At 35.6% G+C, this 14710-nt stretch overlaps 1 gene; it reads left to right on the forward strand.

The window, feature by feature from the left end:
• Positions 1 to 14710, forward strand: part of IGL (immunoglobulin lambda locus) — an 896838-nt gene that overhangs the window by 247510 nt on the left and 634618 nt on the right.

Genomic DNA, 14710 nt, shown 5'->3' on the forward strand with positions numbered 1-14710 from the left:
GACCTACAAAAAAAGCCAAACTGACAGTATTACTGAATAAGGAAAGGCCCAAAGAGACAAAATACTTTTTATTTTGTAACCTCGGTATGATACAACTTACCCTAACTATAAAGACCCTAAATTACCAAGATGGGTGCTTATAATATGGAGAGTAAAAAAAGTCATTTCACTTTTAGCTTTTTTATTTCTCTCAGAATAAAAAGTGTATAAGGAGTTTATAAAGAAGTTGATACTATAAGTTAGTACTACAAAGACAGCACTTTTCAAGAAAAGACTTTTTTCTCTCTTACAAATATCATGTTAGCAGTATTTGTTTTCTCCAGAAATAATGAGGAAATAAAAACATAAGTATGTGGGTAATTAGTGTAGTTTCTTAAAGAAATGAGTTAGGCAACAGGCTAATAATGTATACTTCGCTGGCTTTTGAATGCCAACAATCATATTCTTTATAAGGCACAGAGAAGATTTTTCTGAAGAATAAGTATGTGAACCTGAAAAGTAATCGCCACTTGGTAGTGACAATATGGATAGGGTGAAGGGCGTCATCAAGAAGCAATGAAAAGATACATTTGCAGTTAAATTTGAAAACCATGATGTTTAATACATATAGTAATAAAGAATACTTTCTCCTATTTCAAAATTATTTTAGAATTAAGATAGAAGCTAAAATACCTAGGGATAATGATATGACTATCAAAAATTAAAAATTAAAGGACATTTTGAGTATTATAAGTTAAGAATGAGAACTTATTACCCAAAGAACAGGGGATAATTCATTATGCTCCATATCCATTGAATTAAAAGACAGGCCCATTACCTGGATAATTTGAAAGTTTAATTTTATTTAAAAGTCTTGTTTCATTCATCAAGCTAAAGGATTAGCTCCCAGAAATATTCTAGGATTGCATATCCCCAACTCTGTAGGAAGTATAGAAAGAATGTTATAAGGGCCACCATCTAAACATTATTATGTAAATAATTTAGTACCATTCCATTTGCCTTTGTAGATTTAAAAATGTAAATGGCTTTCTCATATTAGGAAACATCACTTTTCAAAACCCAGATAAACATAGTATATTGCAAGAGAATAATTATTTTCTTTATTAAAAAATACTGGATGCTAAGTCCAAAAGACATAAATTATTTTATACTAATAACTACTAACATTTTATTCATTAAAATATAAAGGTCAAAGATTTTAAAATGATCTTTAAATGATTAATAACATGTTGATCTTTTTCTTCTTTCTGTAAACCTTTTTGAGTCTTAACAATACTAAACTATACAAGCAATATTAAATAGTATATAAACGGATTAAAATATTCAAATTTACTAGAATGTGGACATTGGAAAGAATGAAAATAAACAGAAGCATAAAGCAGCAGATATAAAATTAAGAAAGCAACTAAGAGTGTTTAAAGTACATATTCATCTGTAGTCTAATGTCTACCATAAACAATGACTCTTCTCAGTAAAACACAAATTGTTCATGAAGGGAAAAAGCATGTTGTATTAGAGAATATTCAACATAATTTTTTTAGTACTAACTTGTGCCTGGAGTATTATTGGTTTTTCCATTATGAACTTATGCACTTGATAATTTTTTTCATAAAAATTGTATGTACAACTCCATTCAAAAGCAGTTTTTGGTGGGTTTTTTTTTTTTTTTTGAGATGAGTTTTGCTCTTTTCACCCAGGCTGGAGTGCAATGGTGCGAATTTGGCTCACAGCAACCTAGCAACCTTTGCCTCCTAGGCTCAGGTGATTCTCTTGCCTCAGCCTCTCGAGTGGTTAGAACTACAAGCATGCACCACCATGCCTGGCTAATTTTGTGTTTTTAGTAGAGACATGGTTTTGCCATGTTGACCAGGCTGGTCTTGAACTCCTGACCTGAGGTAATCCGCCCACCTTGGCCTCCCAAAGTGCTGGGTATGGGCAAGAGCCACCATACCTGGCCTCAAAAGCAGTTTTTAAAAGCAAACACAATATAACACCAAAGTTGAAAAATCTATGCTCACCCAAGGATGCCAGGTTTAATAAATTATTTATAGAATACTGCATCAAAAATAAGACAATAACCCAAAATATACCATTAAAGATGTATCCACTCCTACAACTAGAGATAATTAATCTATCTGGTAGCAAATGATACTTCAATCAGTTTCAGCATGTCTGAAATCTTTAAGGACAAAAGTGATAAAACATGACTTCATTCTTCATTAGACTCTTAGAACACTTGAAGGAAAATAATTTCTGAAGCACAAAGAGGTAAAGAGGTGTAATCTTTCAAAAAGATATTCAGTGTTCAAAATCCAAGAGTGCAATATCAGGCTGGGTGCGGTGGCTTATGCCTGTAATCCCAGCACTTTGGGAGGCCATGGTGGGTGGATCACCTGAGGTCAGGAGTTCGAGTCCAGCCAGGCATGGACTCTGGCTGTACTAAAAACACAAAAATTAGCCAGGCATGGTGGTGTGCACCTGTAGTCCTAGCTACTTGTGGGGCTGAGACAGGAGAATCGCTTGAACCTGGGAGGTGGAGGTTGCAGTGAACCGAGATCATGCCACCTCACTCCAGCATCAGTAACAGAATGAGATTCCATCTCAAAAAAAGAAAAGAGTGTAATATCGGTATACACAGATAATATACTGAATGAAACAAATAGAATAATTTGAAGAGGTATCTTGATGAACAAGGAGTCATTAGAAAGGTTGTATTCATGTCTTTGAAGGAAATTGCAATGTGAGAAATTAATACTTTGACTACTATACTAAAAGTTTATTGCTAACATGTATTGAGTTATTAACGTGTGTTAGGCAGAGTGCCATATAATTTACAAGTGTTATCTCATTTATTGCAGGTGAAATGTAATTTCGAACTCTGGAAGTATAAATGAATTAGATAGAAAAAAATTCTATTTAAATGGCCACCAGTAAATCGGTATCTAGGAACAGGGTGATACAGTGCCCAAGTTTTCTATTCTTACTAAATGTTGTGTTTCATTTTCAATGTTTTCTTGGATATTGCTCTTTTTTGGTGATTTTGATTTTTTTTTATTTTAGAAAACTAATAAATTGACTCTTCTTGGTACTGACTCGGGTTTTATAGAAGAAAAAGTAAATTCTGTACATTTACCTTTACCTCATCTTTTTCTCTTTTAAATTTACTATATTTTTTATTTTTTTTGTAATTTTATTTTATTTTTCTATGATTATTATTTTTATTATTATTATACTTTAAGTTTTAGGGTACATGTGCACATTGTGCAGGTTAGTTACATATGTATACATGTGCCATGCTGGTGCGCTGCACCCACTAACTCGTCATCTAGCATTAGGTATATCTCCCAATGCTATCCCTCCCACCTCCCCCCACCCCACAACAGTCCCCAGAGTGTGATATTCCCCTTCCTGTGTCCATGTGATCTCATTGTTCAATTCCCACCTATGAGTGAGAATATGCAGTGTTTGGTTTTTTGTTCTTGCGATAGTTTACTGAGTATGATGATTTCCAATTTCATCCACATCCCTACAAAGGACATGAACTCATCATTTTTTATGGCTGCATAGTATTCCATGTTGTATATGTGCCACATTTTCTTAATCCAGTCTATCATTGTTGGACATTTGGGTTGGTTCCAAGTCTTTGCTATTGTGAATAATGCCGCAATAAACATACGTGTGCATGTGTCTTTATAGCAGCATGATTTATAGTCCTTTGGGTATATACCCAGTAATGGGATGGCTGGGTCAAATGGTATTTCCAGTTCTAGATCCCTGAGGAATCGCCACACTGACTTCCACAATGGTTGAACTAGTTTACAGTCCCACCAACAGTGTAAAAGTGTTCCGATTTCTCCACATCCTCTCTAGCACCTGTTGTTTCCTGACTTTTTAATGATTGCCATTCTAACTGGTGTGAGATGGTATCTCATTGTGGTTTTGATTTGCATTTCTCTGATGGCCAGTGATGGTGAGCATTTTTTCGTGTGTTTTTTGGCTGCATAAATGTCTTCTTTTGAGAAGTGTCTGTTCATGTCCTTCGCCCACTTTTTGATGGGGTTGTTTTTTTCTTGTAACTTTGTTGGAGTTCATTGTAGATTCTGGATATTAGCCCTTTGTCAGATGAGTAGGTTGCGAACATTTTCTCCCATTTTGTAGGTTGCCTGTTCACTCTGATGGCAGTTTCTTTTGCTGTGCAGAAGCTCTTTAATTAGATCCCATTTGTCAATTTTGTCTTTTGTTGCCATTGCTTTTGGTGTTTTAGACATGAAGTCCTTGCCCATGCCTATGTCCTGAATGGTAATGCCTAGGTTTTCTTCTAGGGTTTTTATGGTTTTAGGTCTAACGTTTAAGTCTTTAATCCATCTTGAATTGATTTTTGTGTAAGGTGTAAGGAAGGGATCCAGTTTCAGCTTTCTACATATGGCTAGCCAGTTTTCCCAGCACCATTTATTAAATAGGGAATCTTTTCCCCATTGCTTGTTTTTCTCAGGTTTGTCAAAGATCAGATAGTTGTAGATATGTGGCGTTATTTCTGAGGGCTCTGTTCTGTTCCATTGATCTATATCTCTGTTTTGGTACCAGTACCATACTGTTTTGGTTACTGTAGCCTTGTAGTATAGTTTGAAGTCAGGTAGTGTGATACCTCCAGCTTTGTTCTTTTGGCTTAGGATTGACTTGGCGATGTGGGCTATTTTTTGGTTCCATATGAACTTTAAAGTAGTTTTTTCCAATTCTGTGAAGAAAGGCATTGGTAGCTTGAGGGGGATGGCATTGAATCTGTAAATTACCTTGGGGAGTATGGCCATTTTCACGATATTGATTCTTCCTACCCATGAGCATGGAATGTTCTTCCATTTGTTTGTATCCTCTTTTATTTTGTTGAGCAGTGGTTTGTAGTTCTCCTTGAAGAGGTCCTTCACATCCCTTGTAAGTTGGATTCCTAGGTATTTTATTCTCTTTGAAGCAATTGTGAATGGGAGTTCACTCATGATTTGGCTCTCTGTTTGTCTGTTGTTGGTGTATAAGAATGCTTGTGATTTTCGTACATTGATTTTGTATCCTGAGACTTTGCTGAAGTTGCTTATCAGCTTAAGGAGATTTTGGGCTGAGACGATGGGGTTTTCTAGATATACAATCATGTCATCTGCAAAGAGGGACAATTTGACTTCCTCTTTTCCTAATTGAATACCCTTTATTTCCTTCTCCTGCCTAACTGCCCTGGCCAGAACTTCCAACACTATGTTGAATAGGAGTGGTGAGAGAGGGCATCCCTGTCTTGTGCCAGTTTTCAAAGGGAATGCTTCCAGTTTTTGCCCATTCAGTATGATATTGGCTGTGGGTTTGTCATAGATAGCTCTTATTATTTTGAAATACGTCCCATCAATACCTAATTTATTGAGAGTTTTTAGCATGAAGGGTTGTTGAATTTTGTCAAAGGCTTTTTCTGCATCTATTGAGATAATCATGTGGTTTTTGTCTTTGGCTCTGTTTATATGCTGGATTACATTTATTGATTTGCGCATATTGAACCAGCCTTGCATCCCAGGGATGAAGCCCACTTGATCATGGTGGATAAGCTTTTTGATGTGCTGCTGGATTCATTTTGCCAGTATTTTATTGAGGATTTTTGCATCAATGTTCATCAAGGATATTGGTCTAAAATTCTCTTTTTTTGTTGTGTCTCTGCCTGGCTTTGGTATCAGAATGATGCTGGCCTCATAAAAAGAGTTAGGGAGGATTCCCTCTTTTTCTATTGATTGGAATAGTTTCAGAAGGAATGGTACCAGCTCCTCCTTCTACCTCTGGTAGAATTCGGCTGTGAATCCATCTGGTCCTGGACTCTTTTTGGTTGGTAAGCTATTGATTATTGCCACAATTTCAGATCCTGTTATTGGTCTATTCAGAGATTCAACTTCTTCCTGGTTTAGTCTTGGGAGAGTGTATGTGTCGAGGAATTTATCCATTTCTTCTAGATTTTCTAGTTTATTTGCGTAGAGGTGTTTGTAGTATTCTCTGATGGTAGTTTGTATTTCTGTGGGATCGGTGGTGATATCCTTTATCATTTTTTATTGCGTCTATTTGATTCTTCTCTTTTTTCTTTATTAGTCTTGCTAGCGGTCTATCAATTTTGTTGATCCTTTCAAAAAACCAGCTCCTGGATTCACTAATTTTTTGAATGGTTTTTTTGTGTCTCTATTTCCTTCAGTTCTGCTCTGATTTTAATTATTTCTTGCCTTCTGCTAGCTTTTGAATGTGTTTGCTCTTGCTTTTCTAGTTCTTTTAATTGTGAGGTTAGGGTGTCAATTTTGGATCTTTCCTGCTTTCTCTTGTGGGCATTTAGTGCTATAAATTTCCCTCTACACACTGCTTTGAATGCGTCCCAGAGATTCTGGTATGTTGTGTCTTTGTTCTCGTTGGTTTCAAAGAACATCTTTATTTCTGCCTTCATTTCATTATGTACCCAGTAGTCATTCAGGAGTAGGTTGTTCAGTTTCCATGTAGTTGAACGGTTTTGAGTGAGATTCTTAATCCTGAGTTCTAGTTTGATTGCACTGTGGTCTGAGAGATAGTTTGTTATAATTTCTGTTCTTTTACATTTGCTGAGGAGAGCTTTACTTCCAAGTATGTGGTCAATTTTGGAATAGGTGTGGTGTGGTGCTGAAAAAAATGTATATTCTGTTGATTTGGGGTGGAGAGTTCTGTAGATGTCTACTAGGTCCGCTTGGTGCAGAGCTGAGTTCAATTCCTGGGTATCCTTGTTGACTTTCTGTCTCGTTGATCTGCCTAATGTTGACAGTGGGGTGTTAAAGTCTGCCATTATTAATGTGTGGGAGTCTAAAGTCTCTTTGTAGGTCACTCAGGACTTGCTTTATGAATCTTGGTGCTCCTGTAGTGGGTGCATATATATTTAGGATAGTTAGCTCTTCTTGTTGAATTGATCCCTTTACCATTATGTAATGGCCTTCTTTGTCTCTTTTGATCTTTGTTGGTTTAAAGTCTGTTTTATCATAGACTAGGATTGCAACCCCTACCTTTTTTTGTTTTCCATTTGCTTGGTAGATGTTCCTCCATCCTTTTATTTTGAGCCTATGTGTGTCTCTGCATGTGAGATGGGTTTCCTGAATATAGCACACTGATGGGTCTTGACTCTTTATCCAATTTTCCAGTCTGTGTCTTTTAATTGGAGCATTTAGTCCATTTACATTTAAAGTTAATATTGTTATGTGTGAATTTGATCCTGTCATTATGATGTTAGCTGGTTATTTTGCTTGTTAGTTGATGCAGTTTCTTCCTAGTCTTGATGGTCTTTACATTTTGGCATGATTTTGCAGTGGCTGGTACTGGTTGTTCCTTTCCATGTTTAGCGCTTCCTTCAGGAGCTCTTTTAGGGCAGGCCTGGTGGTGACAAAATCTCTCAGCATTTGCTTGTCTGTAAAGTATTTTATTTCTCCTTCGCTTATGAAGCTTAGTTTGGCTGGATATGAAATTCTGGGTTGAAAATTCTTTTCTTTAAGAATGTTGAATATTGGCCCCCACTCTCTTCTGGCTTGTAGGGTTTCTGCCAAGAGATCCGCTGTTAGTCTGATGGGCTTCCCTTTGAGGGTAACCCGACCTTTCTCTCTGGCTGCCCTTAACATTTTTTCCTTCATTTCAACTTTGGTGAATCTGACAATTATGTGTCTTGGAGTTGCTCTTCTTGAGGAGTATCTTTGTGGCGTTCTCTGTATTTCCTGAATATGAACGTTGGCCTGCCTTGCTAGATTGGGGAAGTTCTCCTGGATAATATCCTGCAGAGTGTTTTCCAACTTGGTTCCATTCTCCCCATCACTTTCAGGTACACCAATCAGACATAGATTTGGTCTTTTCAGATAGTCCCATATTTCTTGGAGGCTTTGCTCATTCCTTTTAATTCTGTTTTCTCTAAACTTCCCTTCTTGCTTCATTTCATTCGTTTCATCTTCCATCGCTGATACTCTTTCTTCCAGTTGATCACATTAGCTCCTGAGGCTTTGCATTCTTCACGTAGTTCTGGAGACTTGGTTTTCAGCTCCATCAGCTCCTTTAAGCACTTCTCTGTATTGATTATTCTAGTTATACATTCTTCTAAATTTTTTTCAAAGTTTTCAACTTCTTTGCCTTTGGTTTGAATGTCCTCCCGTAGCTCAGAGTAATTTGATCGTCTGAAGCCTTCTTCTCTCAGCTCATCAAAGTCATTCTCCATCCAGCTTTGTTCTGTTGCTGGTAAGGAACTGCGTTCCTTTGGAGGAGGAGAGCGCTCTGCTTTTTAGAGTTTCCAGTTTTTCTGTTCTGTTTTTTCCCCATGTTTGTGGTTTTATCTACTTTTGGTCTTTGATGATGGTGATGTACAGATGGGTTTTTGGTGTGGATGTCCTTTCTGTTTGTTAGTTTTCCTTCTAACAGACAGGACCCTCAGCTGCAGGTCTGTTGGAATACCCTGCCGTGTGAGGTATCAGTGTGCCCCTGCTGGGGGGTGCCTCCCAGTTAGGCTGCTCTGGGGTCAGGGGTCAGGGACCCACTTGAGGAGGCAGTCTGCCCGTTCTCAGATCTCCAGCTGCGTGCTGGGAGAACAACTGCTCTCTTCAAAGCTGTCAGACAGGGACATTTAAGTCTGCAGAGATTACTGCTGTCTTTTTGTCTGTGCCCTGCCCCCAGAGGTGGAGCCTACAGAGGCAGGCAGGCCTCCTTGAGCTGTGGTGGGCTCCACCCAGTTCGAGCTTCCCGGCTGCTTTGTTTACCTAAGCAAGCCTGGGCAATGGTGGGCGCCCCTCCCCCAGCCTCGCTGCCGCCTTGCAGTTTGATCTCAGACTGCTGTGCTAGCAATCAGCGAGACTCCGTGGGCGTAGGACCCTCCGAGCCAGGTGCAGGATATAATCTCGTGGTGCGCCGTTTTTTAAGTCCATCGGAAAAGCGCAGTATTCGGGTGGGAGTTACCCGATTTTCCAGGTGCCGTCCATCACCCCTTTCTTTGACTCGGAAAGGGAACTCCCTGACCCCTTGCGCTTCCCAAGTGAGGCAATTCCTCGCCCTGCTTTGGCTCGCGCACGGTGCGCGCACCCACTGACCTGTGCCCACTGTCTGGCACTCCCTAGTGAGATGAACCCGGTACCTCAGATGGAAATGCAGAAATCACCGTCTTCTGTGTCGCTCACGCTGGGAGCTGTAGACTGGAGCTGTTCCTATTTGGCCATCTTGGCTCCTCCCCCTTAAATTTACTTTAATTGACATATAATAAATGTACATGTTATGGGGTACAGAGTGATATTTTGATATATTTATACGATGTGTAAAGATCAAGTCAGAGTCATTATCATATCCATTACCTAAATCATGTATTATTTCTTTGCAGTGAGAATATTCAAAATCTTTTATTTTAGTTATTTGAAAACACACAATAAATTCCCATTAACTACAGTCACCCAACAGTGCTGTAGAGAACTAGAACTTCTTCCTTCTCTCCAGCTGTAATTTTGTATGTATTAACCACATTTTTCTTATACTCTTCTTTCTCCTACTCTTTCCAGGATATGGTAACCAAAACTCTACTATCTACTTCTACGGGATTAAAAATTTTAGCTTCCATACATAAGTGAGAACACGTAGTTATGTGGTGTTTATGTTTCTATGCCAGGCTTATTTCACCTAACATAATGCCCTCCACTTGCATTCTTGTTGCCACAAATAACAGGATTTTGTTCTTTATTATGACTAAATAATATTCCATTATATATGTATGTCACATTTCTTTATCCATTCATCTGTTGATGGACACTTTTGTTGATTCCATATCTTGGCTATTGTGAATAGTACTGTAATAAACATGGGGGTGCAGGTAACTCTTTGATATACTGATTTTCTTTCCTTTGGATATATACTGAAAACCATATGATTAAATTAATAAACACAATAAAAGCGTTTGGCAAAATTAAATATTCTTACATGACAAAAAACCTCTCAACAATTTAGTATAGAAAATATATGCCTTAACACAGAAGGACATAAAGGACAAATCTACAGCTAAGATCATACTGAGTGTGGAAAACGTGAAAGATTTTACTGTGAACAAGAAAAAGATTTTACTGGAACAGGAAAAGGATGCCTATTCTCACCAATCATATTTCACATAGTGAAAGTCTTAGCCAGGACAATTAGGTGAGAGAAAGAAATAAAGGACATCTGAATTGGAAAGGAGACAGTCAAACTGTCCCTGTTTAAAGACAATGTGATCTTATACACGGAAAAAAATAAGACTCTACCAAAAGCTTCTTAGGGTGATACATGAAATTAATAAAGTTGCAGGATATAAATCAACATACAAAAATCAGTAGCATTTCTATATATTGATAGTAAACTAGCTGAAACAAGAAATTAAGAAAGCAATTCCTTTTACAATAGCTACAAAAATGTACTTAGAAATAAATTTAACCAAGGAAGTAAAAGATTTCGACAACAAAAATGACAAATACTAATGAAAGAAATTAAAGAAAACACAAAAAAGGAAAGACATCCACGTTTATAGATTGAAATAATATTCTTAAAATGACCCACTATCCTATGTGATTTACAAATTTAGTACAATCACTAGCTTGTATTTTTAAAAGCACCTTTGCTGCATATTCTTAAGATATTCAATGACAATGCCTGGATTTAAGTTTGAGGTATTATTATATCTATTTTATACTGGGCACAATATAATGTTATCAGAGGTAATGGTTTTGATTGGTCCTAGGTCATACAGTAATATATACATTGTGATTTATAGACATGCTATCTTTTAATACTCAGGCATTTACAAAGTTCATTTAGACAAAGTTATAAAAACTTGCCTTCCTTTCTGCCTATATCACCTAAAAATCCTAATTTAAGAGGTAATAACATTTTTTGATATACAATTTATCAACACAATAAAAATCTAACAATTATCATGTGCAGAGTGTGAAAATCTCATCAGATTAAGGAACACAAAGACATCTTTTTCATATTTCGAATGTAAAACTGTTTTGGAAACTGTTATTTTTAGAAACAGTTAAAAACATTTTTTCATTAGTTTTTCATGTAAAATTGTGACAACCAGCATGAAATAACTGTCATCACAGAAGCATGGTATATTCGATTCCAAAACATATTCTTTGTAAGTTTTAATATATTTATGTATTATTTATACTTACATTGTAACCCATAATGTACAGATATTATTTTTCCTTCAACTCTTAAGAATATTCTTAAATAATAAAAAATTAATGATTTATAATTTTTGTTGGTTGGGAAAAAGAATAGACACACACGTGACAGTGCATCACTTCACCTCATCATTTCATCTCATCATTTTATCTCATCATTTCATCTCATCATTTTATCTCATCATTTCATCTCATCTCATCTCATCCCATCATTTCATATCATCTCATTTCATCAAATCTCATCTCATCTCATTTCCATTTCATTTTCATTATTTCATTTCATCATTTCATTTCACTATTTCATTTCATTTCATCTAATTTCATTTATTTCATTATGTCATTTCATATCATCTCATTTCATTTCATCTCATATTTTTTATATCATTTTTCATATCATTTTTCATCTCATCATTTCATCTCAATTCATTTCATCTCATCATTTCATCTCCTCATCTCATCATTTCCTCCTTTCAACATTTCATCTCATTTCTTCTCATCTCATTTCAATTTCATTTCATTATTTCATCTCATTTCATTATTTCACCTAATTTCATTATTTCATCTCATCTCATCTCAATTCATCATTTCATCTCATTTTTCATCTCATCATTTTTCATCTCATCATCTAATCTCATTTCACTTCATTTCATCTCATCATTTCAGCTCATCATTTCATGTCACATCTCATTTCATCATTTCATTTCAACATTTCATTTCATCTCATCTTTCAATTTCATTTCAATATCATCATTTCTTTTCATTTCATCTCATTTCATTATTTCATTTCATTTCATCTCACCATTTCATCTCATCATTTTTCATCTCATCATCTCATCTCATCATTTCATCATTTCATCTCATTTCTTCTCATCATTTCATCTCATCATTTTATCTCATTTCATCTCATCTCATTTCAATTTCATTTCATTATTTCATTTCATTTCACTTCATTTCATCTCATCATTTTATCTCATCTCATTTCATCTCATTTCTTCTCATCTCATCATTTCATCATTTCATCTTGTTTCATCTCATTTCATCTCACCTCATCTCATCATTTCATCTCGGCCTTTCATCTCTTCCTTTCATTTCATCTCATCGTTTCGTCTCATCTCATCTCATCTTTCGTCTCATCTCATCTCATCTCACCTCAGCATGTCAACAAAACAAAACATCATTTCTTATTTCATCTCATTTTAGCTCATTCCGGGTGATAGGGTCAATTCAATTTCCTTGCATTATTTCATTTCATCGGATGCAGTGCGGGGGATTTCATTACATCTCATCATTTCCTCTCATCATTACATCTCATCTCATCTCATGATTTCATGATTTCATCTCATCATTGCATCTCATCATTTCAAATCCATCATTCATCTCGGCATTTCATCTCATCATTTCCATTTCATCATTTCATTTCATCATTTAATTTCATCATCTCATTTAATTTCACCTCATTTCATTATTTCATTTCATTTTTTCATTTATGTCATTTCATTTCATCTCATTACATTTCGTCTAATTTCATTTCATCCCATTTCATCTCATCATTTCATCTCATCTTTCATCTCATCATTTCATCTCATCTTTCATCTCATCATTTTATCTCATCATCTCATCAACTCTTTTCATCTTATCATTTCATCATTTCATCTCATCTCATATCTTCTCATCTCATTTCAATTTCATGTCATTATTTCATTTCATTATTTCATGTCATCTCATCTCATCATTTCATCTCATCATTTCATCATTTTATTTCATCATCTCATCTTATCATTTCATCTCATTTCAATTTTATTTCAATTTCATTATTTCATTTCATTTCATCTCATCAGTTCATCTCATCATTTCATCTCATCATCTCATCTCATCATTTCATCTCATCACTCATCTCATTTCATATCATCATTTTATCTCATCTCATCATTTCATCTCATTTCATCTCATCTCATTTCATCATTACATCTCATTTCATCTCATTTTATGTCATCATTTCATGTCATCATTTCATCACATCTCATCGTTTCATCTCATCATTTCATCATTTCATCTCATTTCAACTCATTGCATCTCATCTCATCATTTCCATTTCATTATTCCATTTCATCATTTCATTTCATTATGTCATTTCATCTCATATTTCATCTCATCTCATCATTTCATTTCATCTCATCATTTCATCTCATCATTTCATCTCATTTTATCTCATCTCATCATTTCATCATTTCATCTCATCATTTCTTCTCATCTCATCATTTCATTATTTCATTTCATCTCATTTCATTATTTCATTTGTCATTTCATCTCATTACATTTCATCTCATCATTTCATCCATCATTTCATTTCATCATTTCATCTCATGATTTCATCTCATCTCATCTCGTTATCGCATTTCATCTCATTATTGCATCTCATTTCATCTCATCTCATCATTTCATTTCATCATTACATCTCATCATTTCAACTCATTTCAATTTCATTTCAATTTCATCATTACATTTCATAATTTCCTTTCATTATTTCATTTCATTTCATCTCATTTCATTATTTCATTTCATCTCATTTTTCATCTCATTTCATCTCATCATTTCATCTCATCATTCATCTCATTTCATCTCATCATTTTATCTCATTATTTCATCTCATCTCATCTCATTTCAATTTCATTATTTCATATCATTTCATTATTTCATTTCATCTCATCATTTCATCTCGTTTCATCTCATCATTTCATCCATCATCTCATCATTTCATCTCATTTCATCTCATCTCATCTCCTTTCAATTTCTTTTCAATTTTGTCATTTCGTCTCATCATTTCATCTCATCGTTTCTACTCACCATTTCATCTCAAAATTTCATCTCATCATCTCATCTCATCTCATCATTTCGTCATTTCATCTCATCTCAAGTCATCTTATCATTTCATCTAAGTGAAATGATGTAATGGAATCATGAAATGAAATGGATAGGATGCCCTCAGTGATGTTAAATTTAAAAATTGTTTCTTTTCATGTATGCATTTTTATATTTATATGTATTTATATTTATATTTACTTATATTTCTTTTTACTTATTTTTATTTATATTTTTACTTATTTCTTTATTTATAGACAAGGTCCTGTTCTGTGGCCTAGGCTGGAATGCAGTGGTGCATTCACAGTTCACTGCAGCCTCGAGCAAACCTCCCACCTTAGCCTCCCAGGTGGCTGGGACCCCAGGTGCACACCACCACACCTGGTTAATATTTTATTATTTGTAGAGATGGAGTCTTGCTATTCTGCCCAGGCTGGTCTCAAACTCCTGGGCTCAAGCAATCCTCCTGCATTGGCAACCCAAAATGCTGGGATGACAGATATGAGCCACAGTGCCCAACCTATTTATTTATTTATTTATTTAATAAGGACAAGGTCTCACTATGTTGCCCAGGCTGGTCAACTCCTGGACTCAAATGATTCTCCAAACGTGGCCTCTCAAAATGTTGGGATTACAGGTATGAGCCACCA

The sequence above is a fragment of the Homo sapiens genome, chromosome 22, assembly GCF_000001405.40.
Source record: "Homo sapiens chromosome 22, GRCh38.p14 Primary Assembly".
NCBI lineage: Eukaryota > Metazoa > Chordata > Mammalia > Primates > Hominidae > Homo > Homo sapiens.